Source organism: Homo sapiens, chromosome 2 (assembly GCF_000001405.40).
Source record: "Homo sapiens chromosome 2, GRCh38.p14 Primary Assembly".
Classification (NCBI taxonomy): domain Eukaryota; kingdom Metazoa; phylum Chordata; class Mammalia; order Primates; family Hominidae; genus Homo; species Homo sapiens.
Window position 1 is genome coordinate 29,713,002 of NC_000002.12, and position 27,048 is coordinate 29,740,049.

General features: G+C 42.5%; 1 protein-coding gene across 2 annotated transcripts in view; it reads right to left on the bottom strand.

The window, feature by feature from the left end:
- The window catches only part of ALK (ALK receptor tyrosine kinase), a 728,813-nt gene that overhangs the window by 520,228 nt on the left and 181,537 nt on the right, over positions 1-27,048 (bottom strand). For both annotated transcript variants that reach the window (XR_001738688.3, NM_004304.5), the window contains exon 2: positions 4,577-4,696. Coding sequence is in view for 1 of the 2 variants with exons in the window: in NM_004304.5 (NP_004295.2) it covers positions 4,577-4,696 (120 nt within the window). In the remaining variant the exon portion in view is untranslated. The remainder of the gene's footprint in view (positions 1-4,576; positions 4,697-27,048) is intronic.

The following is a 27,048-nucleotide window of genomic DNA, read 5'->3' on the forward strand; positions in this document are numbered from 1 at the left end:
AGGCCAAAAATTCAAAGTTAATATGTAGGCAGGGCCATGCTCTCTCTGAAGCACTAAAGAAGGATTTGTTCCAGGCCTTCCTCTTAGCTCCCAATGCTGCCCGCAATCCTTGGTGTTCCTTGGCTTGTAGACACATCACTCTAATTTCTGATTCCATAGTTACATGGTGTGCACCCTATATGTGCCTGTGTTTTCTCTTCTTATAAGGACACCAATCATATTGGATTAAGGCCCATCCTAATCCAGTATGGTCTCATTTTTATTTGATTGCAAAGACTCTATTTCCAAATAAGGTCACATTCACAGGTACTAGGGCATTAGAACTTTAACAAAATTTTGTGGGGAGACACAAGTCAATCCCCAGGGACCATAGTCTGGGATGGGGAGGGAGGGTAGAGAAGACAAGACTACCTACAGTGCCAAGGGGATTCCACTCATGGTTAGAAAGGGTTGAATTACTTGGCCTGCCTGGGATAGTCTCCATTTGGTGATATCAAGTCTTGGTCCCATAGCTACCCAAGGTCTTAGACATCAGACTGATCATTTAGCTAAACACCAGGTCATCCAGGAAGTGGGCATGCTCTCCAGGCAGGGAAAGCTCATCTTTGAAATAACTTTGTGATATGATAGAAAGAGCACACAGAGAGTCAGAAAGTCCAGGTTCATTCTTTTCTAATGGCTCACCTACTCCGTAAAATGAAAGCACATTAATAAACTCCTTTGACCCTCGATTTGTATTTCCATAAAAATAAAATATAAAATAATTTTCATCTACTGCAATTTTATAATACAACTTAAATGAGAAAAGTGGGTGAAAAAGAGTTTTGCAATGTATCATGTTTTTTTTTTTTAAATAAATGAAAAGTCCCTTTCTCCTGCTCATATGGGCAGAACCTTTCATCGTCCTGTTTAAAAAGTTGATGTGATTCTTCCCATACCCAGAGTGGGCAAATATGATTTAAAGGTGGAAAGGATACCATCTGTCTCTGTGGCTCTAAAACTCAAGGTGATCAAAACTGCCTTTCAAAACCCCCGGTGGCCTCAATCTTTTAGCATCTGGTGCTACCTGATGGAACAGATTTTTATCTGAGTAGGTAGTTAGAGCCTAATCCTTTAGCCAAGCCTATAAATAAGTCTAAGGGCATGAGAGCTGATGATAAAAAGAAAAATAAAGTCTTTCTTTAGACGTCCTCCCTCTCAAAGCCTTAGGGGAGGAATGTGCAGCCCTCTGCTCGCTGATGATGAAATTAGTGGGCGCTCGTCATTCAACACAAAGGCGAGAAACGACTGGAATCTGATGTCAAAAGCCACGGAAGAGAATATATTTTACACAGCATATTAGGCCCCAATGCAAATTAGAAGAAATATGGGGAGCCTTCAAAAAGGTAGGTCAAACTTTTTCCTCAAGCAGATAATTACAGACTGGGGGTGAATAAATCTTATTAGCCTCTTTCCACCTTGTCTCTTCTCATAAAACACTGGAAAAAAGAAAGCCATTCCAATTCAGAACTGGACAGCTCACCCAACAGAGGCCTAGCCTAGTGGTCATCAGGACACCTGCGGTCAGGTTGTTGATGCTCACTCTCACTCCCCCACCCTGACGACCTCCCACCAGGATGCAGGTGAAGACAGCCAACCAAGCGTGGACTTCCATGATGGACTTGCAGAGACTTGGTGACTTCTCACTGTCTGAAGAACGATCCCTTCAGGCAGCAATTTTCCAGTCAAATTTATCTGCCCAAGTTTGAGGCCTTAAAATTAATGAAGTTGTTAACATTTCTTAAAATGTCTTTCACGGCAGTTGAAAGGTATGGATTTATCACCCAACTCAGCTGGCCTCTTTGATTCATAGACATGTGGGCTGAGCTCCCACCAACATCCTTAAGGGGACCAGACTCTTGGCCTTAGCTCTGTCTTTAGCTTGTTCTGCAGTGGGTCTTGGGGCAAGTCCTCAACATCTGTACTCTGAGGTCAGCCCACCGGGGACACTATGGCAGTGGGCTTAGCTGCCTATGGAATGATTTGTCTGTCCTATGAGCAGTGAAAGGGAAGGGCCAACCCTTACCTGTCTTTATGTTTGCATCACTTCCCACATCAGGCACAGGGCCAAGCACCCAGAGATGGTGATGGTGGTGGTAATGTCTTCATAAGTCTCAGCTGAATTAAATATGGCAGAAAGATGTAAAGCCTCTGGAATGCCCACCATAGTCAGTTAAGGAACCACCAATGAAGAATCAGCTCCTCCTTCCCCATAAATCAATAGCAACGATGGTGATGACTTGGGTACTCTTACCCAGAACTTGGGCAGTAACTGCCAATGGTTTGGGTCCTCTACTCTGCCAAGAAGGGAAATCATGAGGATTCCAGACCAGGAGGAGAGTTTGAAAGAGATCTTGAAAAACCTCCAGATCGATTCCTTTGCCCTAAGGTGGCATGCCATTTCACCCTCATTTTACAGATAAGGAGGATGAAGCTCAGGGAGCACCACATGGTTTATCAGGGCCAAGCCATGGGTAGGAGGCAGCTTAATAAGCTTTCATGATTTTCTCCTTTTGACCTGCAACCTCTTATAAGATGCTCCACAGGGAACAAATATGTTGCCCTCTGCAGCATGGAGTGGGTAGATTTACCCCTTGGGGCATTCTGCATTTTATAAAAATTGTCCTTCTGTAGAGATACTGAATGACTTTGGGAGCAAAATCAAAAATGTTACCTGAAGACCAGTTGTATCGCAAATCTGGTTACAAAGCATTAACAATGAAAAGATCCAGATTTCAATTATTTATAGATACTTGCCCTTATCATAAGATGACACTCAGTGTCTGGTTTAAATAAAATCAGGAAGTAATTCTTATCTGGAATCTCCTGACGACCACTGATCTTTCTCTCCTGCAAGGGCTGCTTAAGAATCACAGGAAACATTCCAGCACAGAAGATAATTATAAACTGCCCCAGGGTTTTTGATGGATTTTTTTTTAAGTTTAAAATATGGTACAGAAAGGTACAGTTAATATGAACCAAGAGCGTTATAGATGAGAGACAGCAGGCTTTGGACTGGAAGCTTTTCTATAGTGAGTGGAACATCTCTGTTAGGTGCATTTTAAATAGCTTAGGCCCAAGGGTATAGACTGCATAGAGGAATAGGTAAATATGCCCAGAAGGGAATCTAGAACTCCGTGCCACACCAGGTTTATAAATACTTAATTGAATCAGGCCTGATGAATGAGTTTCATTCTGGAGGACTTTTGCATTCATTCATCATAAATATGAGGCTGGTGCAAAAGTAACTGTGGTTATTGCCATTGAAAGTAGCCATTGAAAGACTAATAAGGCTTTATGCATATCTTCCATGCGATAGAATAAAGTGGAAAGCAAAGCTTAGTGTCTGTCCTTATGGTGTTCACCCTAGAGGAGTTCAAGAGAATTAAAATGTTCATTTGAAATGCTTCTTCTCTCCTCTAAATCTTCTCATTGCAGAGACCCAGCTACTATGAGCTGTTAGAATGAGCACAGAGAAGGAGGAATCTTATACCATGTAAAGGCAGCCTCCTGAGGGCTGCTAGGACAGGACCTACCCGGGTGGGTAGGTGGTACCTGGGAGAAAAAATGAAAGTAGGGGAAGAAGTCTGGCTTGGTAGCTGGAGAAGCCACTCTGTGTGATCTTATTAAACCTAGTTTCCACATCTGTAAAAATGTAATTGGACCTGGTCTCTTCATGTCGGATGCTGTTGCAGAATCAAATGAACCAAAATAATATCAAAGAACATGTTTGGGAAACTTTAAGGAGCTTCTTAACTGTAAGGGGCCCTGGAAGACCTGTGACGCTCATAATAATAATCCCCTCTTAAGAGACTGATTGTTGGCTGGGCACGGTGGCTCACTCCTGTAATCCCAGCACTTTAGAAGGCTGAGGCAGGCGGATCACGAGGTCAGGAGATCAAGACCATCCTGGCTAACACAGTAACACAGTCAAACCCCGTGTCTACCAAAAATCCAAAAAAAAAAAAAAAAAAAAAAAAAATTAGCCAGGCATGGTAGTGGGAGCCTGTAGTCCCAGCTACTCGGGAGGCTGAGGCAGGAGAATGGTGTGAACCCAGGAGGCGGAGCTTGCAGTGGGCCGAGATCGTGCCACTGCACTCCAGCCTGGGCGACAGAGCAAGACTCTGTCTCAAAAAAAAAAAAAAAAAAAGAGAGAGAGAGAGATTGTGATTGCTAGAAACACTGTGGGTTAGAACCAGAAAGCAAGCTACAGTCAAGAAGCAAATAAGCATCTCCTCTAATGATTGATAAGGGGATGGCTGGAACACTATATACCATAAAGGCTAAGCAGGAGGGATATGGCAGACACAAAGCCCTTGGCTCCCACCAGGATACAGAATGCAGCTGGAATGGCCTGGCTGGAATGGTCCACGGGGTTGAGCGTCACTGGGAGACAGAGGGCTCAGAAAGACTTCTTTTGCATATAGGGAGCTGAGGGAATGCCCTGGAGCACTATGAATCCCAAACTGAAACTCACAGAGTCCTTATTATGAGATAGTGACAGTGTATCTCAAGTAAATATTAAACATATACTTACCATATCGGCTGCGATGAGACAGGAAAGGGAAGGAGTCTTTCATTATCCAGGTGAGATTCCATGTAAAATAATCAGGAGAAGGAGAAGGCATGTTTGTTGGTGATTCCAAGGAGCTATGACCTGGACATAAAAATAAAGAAAACACTGATCCATGTGCTTGGGGTGTGTCTTTTAGCTGTCACTCAATATCAGTCAAAAATGAAGTTTATAAGGGGCTTTCATGACATCCATCGGGAAGATGAGGGGGAAAAAATTGAGCCACCAGTAGACTGAGTTGACCTCAGGACCCTGATGTACATTTTCTATCAAGGGCAGACAGATCTAAGAGGTCTGAATGTTCTGACCAAGGCCATGCTGAGGATCTCTGGGAGATGAACTAGAAGCCAGGGCACTTAATGGCTTGGTCTAAGAGTTCTATCCAAAGTCTATTCTGCCTATAATAATTTGTGCAGCTTTATAGAGAACTCCAATTCATCTCGTCCAGATAATGCCTCCATCCCTACTTTATGTTCAGACTTGTAACTTCCTCTAATGTTGTTTGCTTGGGTTATTGCCTTATCAATGAGAGGGCTGAAACTGCACTCTGAAGTTATGAGTTCTTAACAATTATGTTATTGTCAGGGTTGTGGGGGAAGCTAGGTGACCGGAGTTTTCCCAAAGCCAAGAGGCCAGAAAGCCAAAAGGATTAATGTTTCTGATTTGCATGAGAGAAAGAAGGCTTGAAAGAAAAGCAGCAGAGAAGCATTATTCCTGTCCTTAGCAGCACCTCATGTGGATTTTGTGTGGTGAAAAGTCATTACAATATATCTACAAATCAAATGATCATGCACTGCCTGATCTAACACAGTGCTTCCCAGAAAATCCCAAGCTCAATCACTATTTGCTAATGTTTTACGGCAGACAAAGCCTTTTTTGTTAAAGAAGGAAGGATTTGAGAATTAGTTCTCTTTCATAGATAGATGTGTCACAAGACTGAGTGCAGGGAGGAGGGAAGGAAGGAAATTAGCATTTCTTCTGTAGCTTCCCCGGAACAGACGCCATGCTGGACTCTTTACCTACATAATGTCACATGATATTCACCGTGGCTCTTTGAGATAGAAATGATCATCTCTGTTTTACAGATGCATCAACTGAGACCTAGAGAGGCAAGTGATGGAAGCAGAAACTGAGCCCAGGTTTGCCTCATATCAGCAGGCCATGTTCTATGGTGAATGGGCTGACCTGCTATTCTGGTGGTAACTGTTAACCCACTTGGAGGGACTTTGTGAAGAGGAAAAGGGGGAGAAGAGGAGAAGAAGAGAAAGAAGAAAAGGCAGGCAGCAGGAGTAGCAGAGGCATTTTCCCAGTCTGCCTGCTCTGCAGTTTCTTCCACATTACCCCCTGTACCAGCTCTTGCAGGTTCTGGTCTCCTACCTCTAACCCCCTTTTAGGATAAACCCCACTTCACACACTTGAAGGAAATCTCTGGCCTGGGTACCCATGGCAGTCTCTTGTTTCCAGACCCCTCCACTATTTTACCTGCAGGTGCTGCCCTTAGGCAATGCTTATTAAAGGCCCTTGTGCCCTGCAACTGGGACAGGATGGGCATTCCACGGTCTCCTTCCTAAAAAAACATTTTAATCTCTGCTTTCCATAGCTCTGAGTTGGAAGTGCTGGCTCTTGGGTATCTAGGAAAGAATTTTGACTTTTCTCTTATATTTGGTCTACAGAGATTAGAACTGAATTGATTTGTGCCAGGTACATCTTTCTGCAGCATTTCTGCAAAACAGCTCAGAGGAAATGCACTGAAAGGGGTGAGAGTCTGTGTTTGTGAGTTGCAGAGAGAAGCCATCTCATTTCACCTGCACATCAACTCTGTTTCGTAGATAGGCAATGGGGCTCAGAGAAGTGAATGCAAAGCCACGTAGGGTTACTTTGGGTGGGGTTAAGTTTATTAGCCTTTTAAAAAATTAGTATGTATCGAGCACATATGGACCGGTATGATGCTAAGTGCTTTAAATGTGTGATTTTGTTTACTTCTTACAGTAACCTTGTGAATAAGTTTATTTGTCCTCATTTTGCAGCTGAGGAAATTGAGGCATAAAGACGTTAGTTACCTTGACTACAGCCACACAGCCAGCAGGAGACAGGAAATCAGGGTCAAAAGACTAGATCAACTGACACTGAAGTCCAAGCTCCTTTCACCACTCTGCACAGGCCACAGACTGGTGCAGGGTGGTCCTCAGCTCTCCACAGGGCCTGGCAGGGCCCCCACGACACAATGGCTGAGGTCAGAGGCCACCACTGAGCATGCTTCAGAATAGGGCAAGTGGGAAGGGTCTGGGAAGACTCGGACAATCAATCTCCATGTGAATAAAAATTCACTTAGACTCTAGGTCTGAGTCATTGGCTAATCTCAAATTTTAAGTAGCTTTGAAGTGACAGGAAGACTAAGCCTAGGTTATACTTTCCTGTTTCTAAGTGATGTCATTTTTCTGAACCATTCAGTTTGGGAATGATATTAACTTCTTCCTGGATGTGAGGAACCAAGCAGATGGGGCTAGACTTCAGGGAGCACTTATGAATCTGTGAATGGGTACAGAATGGCAGATAACTTTAATATGAATGGGGGCCAGATAATATATTCAGGGGTTTAAAAAAAAAGAAAGCTTTCAAAAGGAAGGGCTCTGAGGGCTGGGTCATGACCCAGCAAGGTAATATGGACATCACTGTGGGCCATCTCTTCAGAAGCATGAGCTTAAAGCCTTTTATATCACAAAACACCAATAACTTGCCAGGCATCCACAGGGTTGAATATTGCAGGGTTGAAAAAAAGCAGAAAGTCTTAACTTGCCCTTACAGGAACTCCTAGAATTTCTTCCAGCCAGTGGGCTCACAGGGTCTCCAATCTTACCCCTGAGAGTAGGGAGTGCAAGTGATAAGCCGGATGAGGCTAGGGAGCTAATGTGGGGGTCAGCCAAAAGGCTGAGCCTCCCCACCTGAAAAGTCAAGGATCAAGGAAAGCAAAGCCCACATGAATGCAGTTGTTTTCCAAAATCGGAAGCATTGGAACAGAAATGAGTGCTAGTCAAAGTTCACAGAATACACATCAATGTAGAATATAAAGAACAAAATACTTCTGCATTTAACAAGTACAGGGTCAAGACACTGTCTGTTCCCATCAAGCTCTTTACCCTTGCCCTACCCAACCACTGCAGGGAAGGATTTTCTAGCAGAAAGAGAAGCCATGCCATCAGAAGCAATCCATTTAAGCTAGAGAAAGCCTTGTCTTTTCAGGGTTCCACTCTGAAAATATGAGGATCCAGAGTGAAATGGGCCTCATCAATGCAGATATATGGGTGAAGGTATGAATGCAGACCAACTGGCTCAAGTAGAGTGACTCTTGGACCTTGGGAGATGAAACGTAGATGAGAAAGGAGTGGGGAAATAGGAGCAGGAGCTTCTAGGTGCCCAAGTGAGGCAGACAAGTGAAGGCCTGAAGAGAAAGGAGGAAGAAATATACCTGGACTGAAGGCATTATTGATTTGCTAGCAATACAATTGTTGCTGTTTTTCTGATGATTTCTTAAGCCCTTTCTAGGCACTGCAGGGTATCAAGGCAGAGTGAAAACCTCAAGCTCTTGACACTCTGAATTTTTCACTGTGTATCATCCCCCTAATGTCCTCAGCTTCAGCTCCAGGGCTCATCTCTATCATAATTTCATTTCACACAATCTCAACTCCTTTGCCTCTTTCTTTACAATTATCCTGGAGCAGGTAGATGTGGTAGTGGGAGAAGAGGGGTGGAGGAACACACAACAGTGCTGACAGGCCTCATTTTAAATTCATCACCAGAAACCTCAAGACCCTCAGGATGGCCCGGGAATCCCATTGCCTTCCCTGACTAACTCAGTTCACTCTCTCTCTTTCCAATACAACTAGTTCAAACTTCCTCTCAAGTTCTCAAAACTCCAATTCCCCATATGCTTCCACATTCTCAGTGAATGAATTTGTTTCTTAGCTTATTGAGAAAAGAGAAGTGATCTACCCACTTACATGTATCAGTGCCTTCTCTTCTGTTGTAAAGGATAACAGTTTACTCTCTTAAACAGTGCCAGCCTCTTCACTTAGGTGCTAGTCTCGTCTCTTCTCAAGGGATCTGCTGTTACAATGGTCCTGCATCAACAATTTTCCCTCTCTACCAAGTCAGTCACACAAACATGCACCATCTTATAAAGAAAGAAAAAGCTTCTTTGACTGCCACACTCTTCTCCAGCCATTGTCCCTTTACTCTGCTCTTCTTTACAGCTAAATCTATTAAAAGATTTGTCTTTGCTCCTGTCTCCACCTTCTTCTTCCCGTGTTCTCTTAAATCCAACAAAATCTAGATTGTCTTCACTACTCCACCTCAAGGTCGCCGACGACCCTAGGCTGCAGATACATTGAACAACTCTAGGTCTTTGTTTCACTGGACCACTCAGCAGCATTTGCCCCTGCAATCACTCCCTGCTTCTTGGATTTTTCACATCCTGGTCACCACATAGTCTTTGGTTGCCTCCTGCTTCAGTGGGAAGATCCTCTTTATTCTTCTTTGCCAGGTCTTCCTTATTTTCCAAACTGTAGAGGAGGAAACGTCTCCTTTTCCGGCAGCACTTGCTTAGGAACTGTCATGGCTGAGTATTATATTTTATCCCACTGGTTCTAACCAGCTGATGATCAATAAATTTCAAGTGAGTGCGGGACACCAGACCCTTCCTGTACCTAACTGAAGACTCTTTGCTGACCAATGAAGATAACTTGTTTACCCATGCTCACACAAACCTATGCATTCATTCATTCTCTTTAGTTCAAAGAACCGATTTTCAACTCCAAATAACCAGAACCACATTGTAGCCCTCTTCGTAAGACTTTAAAAACTCTGACTTTTCTTACTTGGAAAACCATACAGTGAATTTCTCCTTGCCCGACATGTAAGTAAGCTTGTCATAAAAAACAACTCTGTGGGATCTTTATTTTATTATTTGACAGTTGTTAAAAGTTGAAGAACTTGGGAATTTTCTGCATCTAAACTCTCTCTCAAAGTGATCTTACCCAGTTTCATGGCTCTAAATATCATCCACATACTACTGTTACCAAATTTGTGTCTTCAGCCCAATCTCTCCCCTGAACAACAGAATACACAGAATATACATCCAACTGCCTGCTCAAAATCTCCACTTTATTGCCCAATAAGCATCTGAAACTTACCATGAGCAAGCCAAAAACCTAACCTCCCTTCCCCTAAACCCCAGGTATTCCCCATTTCAGAAAGTGTTACCAATACTCGCCTGGTTGCTTGGGCCAAAAACCAATGAGGAATCCTTAACTTCTTCCTTTTATTCACACCCCACATCAATTCATCAGCAAATCTTGATGGCTCTACCTGAATTTTACCCCTTCTCATCTTTTCCCATCTCGCATCTCTCCATTATTGCTATGAGCTCAAAGAGGGCCCCCCTTCAGTCTGTTCTCTATGTGGCAGTTAGATTGACACTGCAGCCCCTGAAATAGCTTTCAAATTTCTTGCCATAGCCTAGCCCCTAAAGGCCCCACAGGATCTGGCTCCTGATTCTGTCTCTAACCTCATTTGCAACCATTTTCCCTCATTGCTGGAGCTCAGTCCCACAGGTCTCCTTGCTCTTCCCCGAACTCACCAAGCACATTCCCACCCCAGGGCCTTTGCACTGGCAGTTCTCTCAGCCGAGGAAGCTCCTCCTACTCAGAGGTACATGGCCACTCCCTCTCTCTGTCCAGGTCCCTGTCCATAGGTCAACTTCCCAGAAAGAATTTCCCTGGTCATCCTGCTGAGAGACAACTCATTGTAAGCCACTCCCATCCCTTTGCCCTATTTCTTACACATATATGTGTTCTGTATATTGGTTTATTCATTGTGTACCTCCTGCACTAGTCACTGCTATGTCTCCATGCCTGGCACACAGCAGGCACTCAATAAATATTTGTCAAATAAATGAAATCAGCGCCCTGGAGGAAGGTGTTATCTCTGGCACTTATTAGCTGTTAACTTCAGGCTAAGCACACACTCTGCCAAACCTCAATTTTCTGAAAACGATGACGAGAATAAGAATAGGGCATATTCTAAAAATTCTCAGGGTTTTGTAAGGGCCACATGAGATAATGTGTGCATGACACAGTCTTTCAGTATCAGTCATATCATTCTTAAAATTGTATGCTCCTATCTCTGTTTTAGAATCCAAAATGAGTGGGAGTCTTGGTCTCTTTTCTATATTTAGATCATCTTGTGTCAATAATTACAACGTCCAGAAATCAAAAGTGCTCCCAGAGAGCTGCTTCGCTATTATTCACTAGTTAATCATTAACTTTGCCAAATGTACATGATCACAACTACCCAAATTGCAGCCGATTGGCACTGTGTATTTCCAATCTTTATTTTTACATGTCTCACTGCATGTCTATTTATTCCTAAGCCAATGAACATAATATAATAAATATATCATACTTGTGTCAGTATAAGTAATGAAGAGCTATGCATGTGTGATGGTTATTTACATGAATGCCCCAGGCTCACTGGCAAGCATGTTTTACAAACCTACATCAATAAAATGTAACAAATGCTCCTATTCTAAATGCTCTTTGGAACAGTTCCTACCTTGCCTGTACACGTTTTACTTATTTCTTTTCCTTCCAACAATAAAACAATCAGTGACAGTCTGCTTGTTTTTTCCCTGTTATTTGAAAACACACTTAATAATGCATTCGTTTACAATGATTTTGTGTCACACAAAGCAAAGCTTAATGTGGCCAAATAAATAGTGGTCTGGATGTCAAATCAGGCACAGCTCTCAGAGAGTACAGGGCAGGCCTGTTTTTGGGACTGGCAGCCCAGGGGAAATGGTTTGGGTATTCACTAGGCTGAGCCTGCACCTGTTCAGCAAAAGAAACCTCAGTAAATTTACATGACTCCTAGAGTTAGCGGTGATGGGCGATGTTGTTAATTTAGTCTGAAAAACAGAGATGTGATTTCAGAGAAAGGAGAGAGTTTGCAGATGCACCATTTGTCCTAAACATATAGCCCTCCCCATACCTTCTCTAGGCCTGGAAAATGAGCGGTTTGAACTCACTGCTCGCTAAGGTCCTCTCTGGTTCATACATATTTGTTTCTCTATGGTTTGCTTTCACATTTTCTTCCAGCTGGCTCATTCAGAAGGGAGCTATTAGTGTCAAGGGCGGAATTTGGATGGAATTAAACAGCTCCCACTCCACCTCACCTTTCTCTAAGCCCCATCCCATCCTGCCAGAGAAGTTTGTGCTCTTTCTTAGTAGCTCAAATATTGAAGCAAAAATTACTCTCCCATAATATTCTTTTGTACTGTCAAAAGTTATAGCTTCAGCATGCATTTCCTGCCTCCCCAAGAGGACCCATGTATAACTTTTGTGTTCACTCAATGGTGAAGGACCTCTGCCAGCCAATGAAAGCATGTACCCCTTCCCAAGGCACAACAGTGAGGAATATTAATAAAGGAAATTGTTAGCATGGTGCCTACCCTTAGGGATTTGGTTACCTTCAGGCTATCCTATACCAAAAAAAAAAAAAAAAAAAGGAATCACAAAGAGGTTGCTCCAGAATGGCTAAAGCGTGTAAATCTGGAGCCCAAACACTCTGGCCACTGTTTGCCTTTTCAGCCTTATTTCCCATTCAGAATCCTTCCTTTCACATTCTATCCCATTACTCCTTAGTCTCCAAACTTATGCCCAAGCTAATCTCTGCCTAGAACATCCTTCTCCACCCCCTGCTTTCCTAAATCCTACCCCTTCTTAAAGGCCCAGCTCAAATCCCTCCTCCTCAAGGTCCCTGTCTTCCCTGAGCTGGACACCAAAGCAGTTGAGCTGGGATTCGGGTTGTGCCAGAACAAAACCTGAACTTGGGCCCTGACCTCCTTAACCACTTAGGATAGTGGTGTTGAGGCCATTCAACAAACATGTTAATGACGATGGATTGTAATTGCATATTAATTTCACTCACACAACTTAAGTTTCAGGTCTGTTGTTTATGTTGATTTCTTTTCTTTTTTTTTTTGCTCATTGATTTAGAAAAAATTAGGAAAAGCATTTCACAGTGGCTGTTTTTGGTTTGGTGTCATGTAGGACATGCTTTGCAGGGGCAGGGGCAGATCAAGACATGGACCTATTTCATCAGTTGAGCTACCACATCTATGCAGGTACTAGTGACTCATAATTCATGGCCAAAGTCCTATAACGAAGGCCATGTGACAGCTGATGCCTCCTCTTCAGAACCTGTATCTCTCAGAATTTGATAGTTCCAGGTCACTCACTGCATTTTCACCTTTCCAGACATGATTTCAGCATCCCAAGCAAGCACCTCCTGACTCATCCATGAGCGTCACAATGTCTCCTTTGGCCCTGAACCCCTGCTGCAGGTGTGCTTGGTCACTGGCCCTACCTAACTGGCCAAGGTGGACTCACACTGGCTTTTGGTAGCTGTGGAAGACTAATGGGCATTTTTATTTTACTAATCCAAGACAGCAAATATCACTCTCCAGGTGGCCTGATTCTTAACACACCCGCACTCCCTACCCCCGTAAGACCTGAGTGCTTCCATTAGCAGGGCAACATGACTCTCTGTTTGGGTCCATTTCTGTGGTTTGCTTGTACTCTGCTCTTTATGAAATTTACTCCACTGTGATCTTAAGCCTATTTTCTCCCCCCAAAATATGTTGACTAGAATAATAATCAAAAGGAAGGCTTTGAACTGCCATCAGGCCTTTCATCTTGTGATCTCAGAGAGCTTTACCAAGCACTAAATAATTAATATACTGAAAGCGATACAAAGACACAAAGACACAAAGACAGGGCAGCCTGGAAAACCAAGTCCATCAACAAAAGACCTTTTTCTTTTGGAGTGAGAGAGTCCTGGTAAGGATAATCACCCACCAGCAGGCCCAGGAGTCTCCAGACATGTTAGACAAGAGGCTACAAACTATCCAAGAACAACTGGCTCTTCTCTTGACCTGATGTTTCAAGTTGGGAAGTAACGGTTACCAGGATGACTCCTGAAATCATGCAGTGAGTGCCCTGGGGAGAGTGTGACCCACTTTCACAGGAAGAAGGGAGCTCCAGCGTGGAAGAGTGGATTGCAACTGTGTGCACATTCACCATGACTTAGGGCTCCCTGATGCCTTTCAGAGGCATCTGCTTTTGTGATCCTTACAACAACTTTGGTAGTTAACCTCTTTTACAGATGAAAAGATTGAGGCTCGGAAAGCACAAATGCCCAAGGTCACATTGCCAGTGAGTACTAGGATAGGATGTATGACTGCAGACCTCTGATGTGTGGACCAGCTAGGAATGCCACTCTACAGTACAAATCCCTTGCAGGTGATGATTCTCCTGGGGAACAGGGGTTGGGAATTAAATACAGAAGAAAGAAACTGACCAGGTCAGAGATGCTTGCTGCATTCTCCTAACTGAGGACAATAGATCCCTTTGGGTCAACCAGGAAGTCGACCTAGAAACACACACCTTCCATCAGGGCAGCTGGCTCTGTGGGGTCTCAGGCTCAGCCACGACTGTTTCCATGGCAACCACCACAAAGCCTGATGCCTGGATCCTTGAAATTGGTCCTTGGCTTGTCCAAGGGAAGATGCTTAGGGTGAGGGGAAGAAGAGGGACAAAACACTTTCTCCTAACTTCCAGACCTTTCAATCCCTCTTTATCTACTTGTCACCCCTGTCATTTCAGGATAAAGAGTCTATCCTCTAAGAAGCCCCAGCTCCAGATGCCACATTACTCAGCACAAAGGCCCCTCACCATGACTGAACTCATTTCCAGAGATAGGCTGATGTGCTAGAGAACTGTGTTCTCAGATACAGCAGTGTTACTGCGTGACCTTGGGTAAGCTGCTTAACCTTTTTCAAGCTTTGTTTCTCTGCATGTAAAACAGAACTCATCATGCTTTCCCAGCCAACTTTTGGGATGCTCAAAGAATTAATGAGACAGTATCTACAAAGCCCTCAGGCTCTTTTGAAGAAAGGTACACTAGAAATCCTTGTGCTTTTACTAAGGGGTATTGGCATGATGCTATATTTTAAATCACTCTTCACCTGTATTACTAAAATAAACTCAGCTTGTATTAAAATAGATAGGCCAACAGCCTGATTGGCTTCATCCTACTCTGGTGCTATGTCACCTTTGTTGCTTCCATTCATCTTGCATTGTTAACAATGGTGATCAATGTTACCCTTGGCCTCATGCAGAGACTCAGAGTGGGGGAGCTGGGAGGGGCCATGAAGACTATTTATCTGTGTCTTCCTATCACACATGTGAGCAAGCTGAAACACAGGAAGGAAAGATGCTTCACTCGAAGTCATCTCGTTAGTGAAAAAAATCACAAAATATGATCTTCTGTGCCCCCATTCTATGCCTCACCCACCACAGGAGAAGGTAGCAAAGAAAGGAGGAGGGAGAAGAAATAGGGAGACATGTTTTTGTTCTTTAAACCTTTAAGCTGCAATACTCTGGGATGTTTTTAAAAAAAAAATCACTGAGAAAGAAACCAATACTTCATGTGTGCCTATTACACACGGTGCCCAGCACCATACTGGGGGCTTTATAGTCATTGCCCCACAAATCCCACAATTTTCTGAGTGGGGATTATTATTACCATTTTCAAACGCAGGAACTGAGGCTCAGAGAGGTTGAGTAACTTGTCCAAGGTTCTGGAGCCAAAAGGGGTGGAGCTAAGATTAATTCATTAATTCCATTCATACTTCCTGAGTATCTCCTATGTGCCGAGCTCTGCCCTTGGCAGTTGGGCTGCATTCGTGAGCAGAACCCCACACTACCCTCTTAGAGCTTCCAGGCTGAGGAGCTTAGAGTGTGGAAGGCAGCAGACAGCCATCCAACAACCTCTCAAGTCCTTTTGACATCTTGATGTTGTTATCCATTGTGAAGGAGACAGACACAACCCTATGAGAACGTATGATGAGGGATCTGACTTCATTACGAGAGGCAGGGGAAGATTACCTGAGAAGCTGATGCTTGCACTGAGGCCCTTAACCAGATGAGTAGAGTTAACTAGTTAAAGGGAGTGGGGTAGGGTGGGAGGCTGGAGAAGGCAGGGTCTATTCCAACTCAAGTCTCTCAGAACGGAGCGCCAGCTCCTTATTTGCCACCAAGAAAAGTGAGGCATTATAGAGGAACCTTGATGGATGGCCCAATCACACTGCTACTGTCCAGCAAAGAACCCCTTGGAGATGACATTGATTGCAATCGAGAACAAGGACAGGGAATGAAACACAGCAGAAGGAGTGACCAGTTCATAAATGCCTGCTGCCTTCTCCTGATTAAGGATGACAGATGCCTCCAGATCAACCTAGAAGGCCATCTAAAACTGCTACCTAAAATGGCTCTGCCCCGTAACAGGACTGACCTGACTTGCCAGGGACCCTCCTGCCTTTTCTCGGATGCTCAGTCTGTTGGCCAACTTTCCTGCAGGGAAGAGGCCTGGAACCCAGCCACTAAACCTCAGCCTCCCCTCGCTCTGAAACCTGAATTACCTTCTGGAAAAGTGAAGGGTTGAATCTGCCCCAGGAACTCTTCTTGCAGCCATCTGGGTCACGGATAAGCCCTGGCTTGCTCTCCTTGCCCTCTCCCATGGCCAGGGCCAGCAAGGTCAGAGCCTCTCTCTTTATTTTGCTTTAAAAATGAGGTGAAGAGAGGCAAAGAGGGAGGGGAGAGCAGGGAGAGAGAGAAAAGAAGAGAGAGGAAGGAGAAGGGAGAGATGGCAAGGAGACGCCTATTAAGCAATAGAGCTGCAACAAAGAAGGGAAGAAACGTGGTGGGGGAAAGAGAAATCATCTGACATTTTTTCACTATCTGGAAGTTACTGGGAGAAAGTTATTCAAGTACCACGGTAAAAAGGCCATAAAACACCTTGGGGAAAACATGAAAGTCACGCTGCCACCATACAGACGAGCACCCTGGAATTAGCTGCCAGAGCGATGTCTAAAAAGAGGAAATTCAATGGCCCACATTGCAGCCTCCTCCCCAGTCCCTCCCAGCTCCCACCCCCTCCAAATCGCCTGGCTCTAAAGGCAGAGGCAGTAATTTGGAGCTGGCAAGTGTGAAGGAATGTGGAAGCTGTTATTTGCCTTCATGCAGCACATCTTGAGTGCATCTTTCAGAATATAATTTAAAATACACTTTCGGTTTTACTATAGAAAATCTGAAAAAAAATCAAGAAGATCTAAAGGAGAAAATAAATATCACCCATACCTCCAGCATCCAGAGAAGCCAGTGTTAACATTTTATTGCATATTGGTTTGTGACTTGGTTTTCACTCACTTAACAAGACAGCACTTGGCTGAAAAGTATATCGAGGAGAAGGGAAGGAGAGAGTTCCTCTGCACCCATGAGATTTGTCTGCAGGGCAAAGAAGGTAAGTCGTCCTATTAAACCACCCAAGCAGCTTGCACCCTGGCACACAGATGCTGAAATTATGGCAACTCGGGATCCCCTCGCCCCTTGGCAAGGACCTGCCATTAAATGCGGCACAAGCTCCGAGAAAGCAAAGGCTGTCCTTAGGAAGGGCAGGCCTACGGGGATTTGGGAGATGCTGGGATGTGAGTGCAGGATAGACCAGGAGGAGGCAGATACACTAGTGTGTACCCTCAGCACAAGTAGACAGAGGGATAAGCAGATTCTGCTCTGGTAGGCACCTTGTAGAAGTCATAAGAAGCAAAGACTATACAGAATTATAGTGTTATGTAAGTGCTTGAACCTAAATAGGAGGTACAGTACATTGATTTTATGACTTGGAAAGGCTAAAAAAAAGTGGAATTCCACCTCATTTTCAAAGGAACAGCCAATGAAAGTAAACTAGAGATAGAGGGATAGAGTTCTATCTCTGTGGCCAATGACACACCCCACAAATACATGGACTCCCAAAGCCCTTTCATTTAAGCCTTTGATCCTCATAAAGGTTTAATAAGATAAGAAAAACAAATCCCAACTTACACAAGAGGAAAACAAAGAATCAGAGAGGCTAAGCCAGTGCTTCCTCACCTTTTTTCATATCATGACACACAGAGAAAATAATATTTATATGATCCACTGGAGTAAAGAGTTAAGGTTGCTTGCAGTGAAAGGCAACTGGCCCAAGGGCTTCTGCCACTCCTGGTCTGGCCTAGCCTCCCAGTGTGCTGACAGGCTCCATAGGTCAGTGTCTCTGCACACCTGTTGGCCAGCACACATGGGACCACAGCTCACTACTGGAGAAGGAAGCTCTGGGTCAGGAGATGTGGCCACAATCACACAATGAGAAGAGCAAGATGCACTGTCACCCTGCATCTTGCCCCAGGGACATGTCTACATGACAATAGAGACGTTGGCCTCAGAAAGTTCCCAGTGCTTGTCGCCAACACTGTGTCATCACTCAAACAAAGCAGGTGGCATGGGTGAGTAAGGGCTTTGAAGGTTGATCTGAGAGCGCCTCAGAAAGTTTCCTTAAAGCATTTGTAACTGTCAAGAGGCTTCCCTAAAGAAAAGGGGTAAAACTTGGCTCCTATCTCTACTCTGGGAAATTCAGAAAATAATTTCACAGGATGGTTATTGAATGGCCAAAAAGTAATGATTACAAATGACTGAGTTAAACTGCTGTGTGTAGCCTCATCTGTCATCATACAAGCGTCTTATCAGAAGTCCCATCAGGATTAGGGGCTCATCATGACTGGTGACATTTGCTGGCCAAGATGGCTTGGCTTCTTCCATGTCCCCTTCAATCATGGTGGCAGAAGCCTTCCAAGGTTTGAGCATAAACTCGGAGAAACTGCTTTTGGCAATGACTCCAGGAGCGGCTTTCAAGATAATGGACTCTTTTTCTGCAAGTGGCACTCTGTCTTCCCAAGACTTCCTGGGTCTTGCTGTCACTGGAGATTCTGGGCAGCATCGGGACAGGATGAGCTGCTGGCAACAGGTATAACAGAAACTAAACCTTCCGGCCTGCTGAATTAATGATTTTATTAGATACAGGTAGGTCACACTCAGGCAGCACTTACACAACATTAAACCTCTGGATGGAAAATGAAAATATTTCCTCAAATCCTGTAATATCTCCAAATGTAAACCAAAGATATATATTTTCATTAGGACAATAGCAATTTGGCCCAAGAGAAGCAGTCAGGACTAAGCATTAAAGATATTTGGAACAGGTGAATGAACCATGGGCTAATTGGATAATACTACATCTATCTCTTATAATTGTGGACCAAGAGCACCCCTGACTCCTTGGGAGGTTCTGTCAGTGACCTGTAAAGGTGTTGTAGGAAGGTGAGGTCAATTCCCTATTAATTTCTCATACTCAGCAGTGGGAGGGGAAGAGAGGAGAGTCCTCCCTTTGCCCTGGGCCTCGCACACTGGGTAAACCCTGGTCATTTGTACAGCATGCATCCAGAGACTTCTGGAATCCTCATCTTCAAGAATATTGCTGTAACATATCACTACCTCCATAAAATGCATTGCTACAATAGGGAGAAAACAATAAATCATTCACTAAGTGACTCATAACCAAACCCAGCCTCATAGCATGAGATTTTTCAAATTCTTATCTCAGCAAAATGACAATTTATTACATATCATGTAATTTGGGGTCGCTTGCAAATAGTAGAAAGTGTGACTATTAAATCTGCCACTACCAAGCAACTGCTGTAGTCAGAATATGAGAGAGAAATAAAACAAGATGCAAAAGTGACTTTTCCACCTACTCTGGGGTCCCAGACTCTGAAATGGGCAGGGGGAGCCAAGAACTATTGTCACAAACTCCAGAAGTTCCAGCCATGGCTTCCTCACTGCCCACACTTGTAGAACTGTGAGGTTTTCCTGCCTGAGGTAAATAGCAATTATATCTATACTAGGTTTAACTCACCCTTGGGGTGAAAAAGACTTGAGGAAGATGTGTTTATGGGTTGTTGACTGTTAGGGAGAACTGTGGACTAAATGTTTATGGTTCCCCCAAAATTCACATGTCGAAACCCACTCCCCAGTGTGATGGTATTAGGAGGTGAGGCCTTTGAGAGGTAGGGCTTTTGGCAGAGCTCTCATAAATGGGATTAGTGCCCACAGAAAAGAGGCCCAAAAGAGAACCCTCACCCCTTCCACCATGTGAGGACACAGCAAGAAGGCACTGCTCGTGAATCAGGAAACAGGCCCTCACCAGACACTCAATCTGCTGGCACCTTGATCTTGCACTTCCCAATCTCTAGGACTGTGAACAATAAACTTCTGTTGTTTTTAAGCTACCTAGTCTATAGGTTTTTTTTTTTTTTAAGCAGCCTGAATAGACTAAGGGAGACCCCAAAGATAAAGACTTTTGAGTTTCTGACCTTCATGAATTGATATAAGTGGAGTGAATATAAGACCAACAGAGAGAAGCACTAGAACATGAAGCAGCCTTCCAGGGGGTTGGAAGGAGGCTAGGAAATAAGTAGAAGGAAATCCACTCTGAGCAAATAGAAAACATGACACCCAAGAGGAAGATACACAATTGGCTAGTGGGGCACTCTCCCTGAAAGCGGGGCACTAGGAACAAGAGTAACCTAGCCATTCTCCCTGGAAGTCATACATGAAGTAAAGCAGGATCAGGATCTGCTGGTATCACCCAGAAGAATGAAATGGCAGCCAGGTCTTCTTATAGCTTTGAAATGTCCTTGTTTAATAGAGATCTGTGGCAAGAGATATGGAATTTATAAAAGGGGCTGCAAACTAGATTAAGGGAAAAGGAGGCCAGATGGGGAATCCCAGATGGTACCATGCTGTCTTGGAGTTGAGATCATGGGTTTAGATGTCAGGCTGGCCTGAACTCAACTCACAGTTCCAACACTTACTAGCACCTACGTGACCTCAGGCAAACTATTTAACTTCTTCACACTTCACTTTCCTGTTCTGTGACATGGGAATAATAGAAGCAATCTTACATGCTTGCCTTGAAGATGCCATAAGAGAGTGCTTATGAAGCACTTAGCACAATGCCTAGCTAGAGTAAGTGTTCAGTCAATGTGATTTATATTATTATTATAGAAAATAAAATGCTGGGCAAAATATGGGCCCAGCCATTGAGAGTTCTGAGTTTTAAAACTTCAGGGAAGAGTCATGTGATCCCTATGAGGGAAACATACACTTTGTAGACAGGAGGGGAAGATCTGCAATCCAGACACACCCACGGGGATCCGGCAGGTTTTCAGGGCTGTGCAGGCAGCGACAGGAGGGGTTGGAGGAGCTGTCTTGGAAAAAAGTGGCCATGGGACATTGGACCTGCTGAGCCTGTGGCCTGTAGATCCTGGCAGACCACCACTGATCAACATCAGAGGGGCCAACAGTAGATGGCCTGAACTTGGAGTTGCTTGTAATGCTTACAAAAGCTGTCAGTCTGCGAGCCAGCAAAGCATACATCAGTTTCCCAAGGTGAGAACTGAGGCATGGAAAAACAAGTTAGCGGCCCAATGAGAGGACTTGGAGAACAAGCAGCGGGAAAGGGCAGAGATCCAACACTGGGCCCAGGACTCAGCCTCCTTCTAGCCATGTGTCCAAGATTCATTGACTTGGCAATTGTGCAATCTGTGCTGTTTATATTCATTATCCCTCAACCATGTTCAAGTTCCAAGAAAAGGTGCTGCAGACCATCTCCATCCCCATCTGCTCTGAGTAATTATGGAGATTTCATGTTGCCCTAAAGAGAAGAGACTGTCTAACGTTTTCAGATTTTTTTAACATGAAAAAAAGATAAAGCTCGGGGACCACAGGCCTATAAGTTTAACAGTGCTCTTGGAGAAAACTCTAAAATAGATCATTAATCAGATGGCACGGAAGCCTTTAGAAATATACATCGACCAGAGGGAGACAAAACTAGTTCAGTAGGAATAAGACATGGTCAGTCTAGGGATAGTATCTTTACTATCAAAATGAGCAACCTCTTCCCCCATGCTCAAAAAGAAAAATAATTACAAAACAAAGACACCTGTAAAAATAAATATAGATCCTGATCTCTCTTTCTCCCTCTCTCTTTCTGAAACACACACACACACACAAATATCCAAATATCAATGGCTAATAAATATTTGAAAAAAATCTCAATTCCAACAGTAATCAAATAAAAGAAAATTAAAATACTGGACTACTACTTTTCACTTATTGAATTAGAAAATATTTAAAATCACTTAAATAATTTAAATAAATTTAATAGATATTTTGGTAATTTAAATACAATTTAAAATATATTTTAAAATAATTATGCTCAGCACTGCTGAGGGCAATGAGATAGATAATCTTATACATTCCTGGTAGAAGTATGAATTGTAAATTTAATTTTTTTAATAATAATGTAATAATTGACTAACAATGAGTATGTGTAAATTGCTATGCACATGGATCATTTTATTTTTTTATTACAAAAACCCCATGAAACAGGTATTGGTATTCTCGTTTTGCATATGAAGAAATTAAAAGGGTCAGTTTCAAATGCCCCAGAGATTCTGATTCTCACTTGTCATCTAGGGGTTGCAGGGAGAATGGAAATGGGTAAGGAGAGGATGAGGCAAGAGAAAGCCCTACAGGGGGTTCTGATTTGGATATACCATTCCCCTGTTTAGAATAACAACAATGCATTATACTGTACATAAGGACAGATAACTAATTTAGGCAGTATTTAAGAGTGTTGATACTTTTGACTGATTCTCTCCTAAGAAAATATTTGAAAGTTATAAAAGTGTTTGTGAACAATCACAGCCTTCAGTGATTTTATAATAATAAATGCTATCTTAGTTGGAAACAACTTAAATATCTAGCAATAGGTTAAATGATTTAGAAAATAATAGTAATAGTAGTAGTAAGAGTAGTAGTAATAATAATTGTTATTGCATACTCATTATGTACCAGGTGCTAGTTTAAGCTTTACTTGAATTATCTCACCTATTCTTTATTGACATGGTTTGACCGTGTCCCCACCCAAATCTCATCTTGAATTGTAGTTCCCATAATCTCCACACGTCATGGGAGGGGCCCAGTGGGAGGTAATAGAATCATACGGCAGTTACCCCCATGCTGCTGTTCTCATGATAGCGAGTGAATTCTTGTGAGATCTGATGGTTTTATAAGGAGCTTTTCCCCCTTTGCTCGGCATTTCTTTCTCCAGCTGCCATGTGAATAAGGACATATTTGCTTCAATTTCTGCCACAATTGTAAATTTCCCGAGCCCTCCTCAGCCATGCAGAACTGTGAGTCAATTAAAACTCTTTCCTTTATGAATTACCCAGTCTGGGGCAGTTCTTTACAGCAGTGTGAGAAGGGACTAATACACTTACAAAAACCTTGTAAGTTAGAGATTATAATTACCCCTATTTTGCGTATAAGAAAACTGAGCCATCGAAAAGTAACTTGCTCAAGACCCCAAGCCAGCCCATGACAGCATCAGAATGACAGCCCAGGAAGTCTTACTCCAGAGCTTTTACTATTAATGATCAAACTCTATATATGTAGTTCATTTCCATGATGGAATATTATAGAGCCATTAGAGATAATGTTTTCAAAGGGTTTTTGATAACATAGGGAAATATTTACATTATATGCTTGGAAAATTACATATATTGTATGATCTAGCTGTGTGAAAAATATACAAAGAAAATGCCTGGAAGGAAATGCACCAATTAACAGTAATTGCCTTTCAATGGTCTGGTTATGAGTCATTTATTTTCTTCTTTATACTTTTCTGAATTTTTCTAATGGACTAAAATAACCATGTGTCATTTTTTTTTTAAATCCAGGGTGGAAATAAAGTAAGCCATGTTCATGCCAAATTACCCTTATTTTCATTTTGACAGTGTATTTTAAAATTTGACAAAGTAACTTATATTTTAGTACATTAAAAAATGGAAACAAGGGAACAAGTTTAATAAAAATAATGCTTAGAATTATTTATTAATGAAGCAATGTTTCCTGTACTAAGTAAATAAAAGAGGACCAAGATTAAGGCTTATACACTCTTGAATTTCTACTCCCCTTACCCCAGTATCTAGCAGAGTGCCTTATGTAGTGTCGACTTTTGGCAAATATTTATAGAATGAGTGATTTTATCTTGCTGAACACTTTTAAAAATCAATGACAAGACATAGAAAAAAATGCTTATTGAATTTGTAGCGATAACTGATATCACAGAAAATAGAGTTAACATTTGTAATTAAGCCGTATACAGGATGAAATTTAATACTTGTCAAAATTTATGGATCAGAAGTCTTAAAATATTTTTTATTAATTGAATTGCTAATGTTGACTATCCCAGGGAAGTAACAGAGAATGGGCACAAATACTTAGACCCAGTGATGTTCCTTGTTCCAGTACTTGGTAGAACCTAAAGATTAGAAAGAATTAGATGTTTAACGGTATGTGATAGGTTGCATATACTTTGGGCATCCTTAAAATAAAATCTTATCCAGTAAAAGCGTTTTGTAGAAATTTATGTGTTGATGTAGAAGTATTTTTTACAAATATGTTAATTTTAAAAGGCAGGTCATAAAACAATATAAACAATGTGATCTAATGTTGTGAAAATATATAGGTGCTAGCTAGAGATAAATGCATGAAACAGATTGGGAGGCTATACATGAAAATGTTAGGGGTAGATATCTTTGCATGATTTAATTATAGGTAGCTTTGTTATATTTGTATTTTTTCATTATGTTTTGATGAATGTGAATTACTTTTGAAAAACAAATGTAAAACTATTCTCTATACAAGTATAGAATGTGTTCTGGAAAACTGCAGTTGGTGCTGATTTTACATTTCATATATAGTTTAAAAAATGGGTCTGGATGTATGATTGCCCCAAGCTCTGGATAGCTAGCAGTGCAGCATGGCAGCTAAGAAGACGTTAATTCCAATCTTAAGTGACATCACGAGAAGCAAAATCTCTTGGCTATGGGCAGCAGTGACTGCTCTGGGCTCCACAGTGGGCAAAGCACAGTGATAATTTTGCATTCATTTCTTGCATTGTTTTAGAAAAGAACTGGCAAACTAGGGAATCCAGAATACAACAAGCAGGTGGTAGGCATCTGCCATGAACATGGCTTGCCCAGAAAAAGAGTCTATTGGGAAGCGTTACCTCCACCATCCTTCCCAATCTGGTGTCTGTTTTCTTTTACATAATCCTCCCTGAGTCTCCACCACTAGGAAACATTTTGGGATGGTTCCTCAGAATAACACATGTGCCTGCATGGAGGGTGGAAAATGGTTTGAGTTGTAGTTGAAGTTAGACCTTGGAAGAATAGTCAGGCCATCATGAGGATAGCTGAGCCAAGGTGAGCGGGAGAACAACAGGCACAAGAGAGAGCAAGAGCAAAAATGCAAGCCTGGTGGGCCTAATTTGAGCCCTGAAACCCAGATCTTGGTATAAGAGCAGTGAAAAAGGGTAGAGATCATCAGCAACAGCAAGCTAGAAAGATGGCTTTGGCAGTAGCTTTTCATGTGCCTCAGGTCAGGAAGATCATGTTATATTATACTCATTCAATTATTCATCAAATACTACCTGAGCCCTTGTTCTGTTCTTGAACTGTAACTAGGTGCTGCACCTAGTTACACAAAACCGAGCATCACGCCAAAAAGTCCCAGCCCCCATGGACCTTGGAGTCCATATCAATGGAAAGAGAAGGACCAAATGGATGCTTGAAAAGTAAACGATATATTATAAATTTGCATGCCCTTTTTGCAGAAGAATCATGCTCATGTTGTATGTATCATTACTTTTTATCATAAAATAGCCTTCCACATTTATGTCTTGATGGCATAATTTAGCTTATGAGCCCGCTGGGAAAATTCTGTAACTTATGTGGCCATCTACTACTTTGTTGTCACTCCAGAACTACTGAGTGGTGATAACACAGCCCATGAATCCATCTCTGGTCATATTTAGAGAAGGTTGCCCAGGTTTTTAGGACGAGGAGAAATATGAGACGTGTTTTGAATATGTGGACCTTAGGGTTTTTCAATGTGGGAAAAGAGAATCAAATGAAGAACTGAAATTTCAAACAAGGACTATTGAAAGGAGACTTGTTTACCCTCTATAGAGACTGAATCAATTAAAGAGTGGCCTCAACTTAAAGCTGAAGCATGATAGGAACACCATGCCATGAGCCATTTGCTCTACTTGGTGATTTGAAGTTTTATGCTTAGAGCTTCATGAAACTCAGAATGAAACCATAGTCAGAACACACAAGGATATTTGCTATTGACAATCCAGTTCCAAAAATAGCAAAACAATAATTTCTAGGATATCTGATTTCAAAGATGTGCAGAAAAGGGAGAAAAGAACATTATTATATTGGCTAGGCACAGTGGCTCATGCCTGTAATCCCAGTGCTTTGGGAAGCCAAGGTAGGAGGATCACTTGAGACCAGGAGTTCAAGACCAGTCTGGGCAACATAGTGAGACCCTGTCTCTTCAAAAAAATTTTTTAAAATAGCCAGGCATAGTGGCACCCATCTGTAGTTCTAGCTTCTCAGGAGCCTGAAGCAGGGAGATCACTGGAGCCGAGGAGTTTGAGGCTGCAGTGAGATAAGATCATGTCACTGTACTACAGCCTAGGCAACAGGGCAAGACAGTCTCTCTTAAAAAAAAAAAAAAAAAAAAAAAAAAAAAGAACATAGGCCAGGTGCCAGTGGCTCACACCTGTAATCCCAGCACGCTGGGAGCCCAAGGCGGGTAGATCACAAGGCCAAGAAATTGAGACCATCCTGGCCAACTTTGTGAAACACCGTCTCTACTAAAAATACAAAAATTAGCTGAGCGTGGTGGTATGTGCCTGTAGTCTCAGCTACTCAGGAGGCTGAGGCAGGAGAATTGCTTGAGCCCGGGAGGCAGAGATTGCAGTGAGCCGAGATTGCGCCACTGCACTCCAGCCTGGGCGACAGTGCGTGAATCTGTCTCAAAAAAAAAAAAAAAAAGAACATAGTTACATGGTTTGTGAAATTTGATAAACTTGGATCTGCATTTCCATTCTACCACTTACAAGGCATGTGATTGAGGCAGGTTAATATATTCGAGCCTCCTTTTTCTCATCTGTTACAAAATTTAATGAAGATGAAAATTCTGCCTTGTATTATTGTTAAAAGATTTTATGAGATGTGTATTGTGAATACCAAGCACATATCAATGACTGTTTCAATGTGAGTTCACTCCCCAAACCCCCATTAGAATCAAATAATTAGAGGCAAGCATGGGTTTTGACTCTATAGCCAGTGATACATACCACAGCAGTACAAGAAACTCTATCATGTGTGCCAGGCACTAAGGATGCAACTAGAAATGTGGATAAAATGCCAAAAACACCTTCCAATACATGTAATGAAGACTTCAAGAATTCACTTGTAATGTTACTTTTATCATTTGTATTGCATTCAATTCAACAAACATTGATTG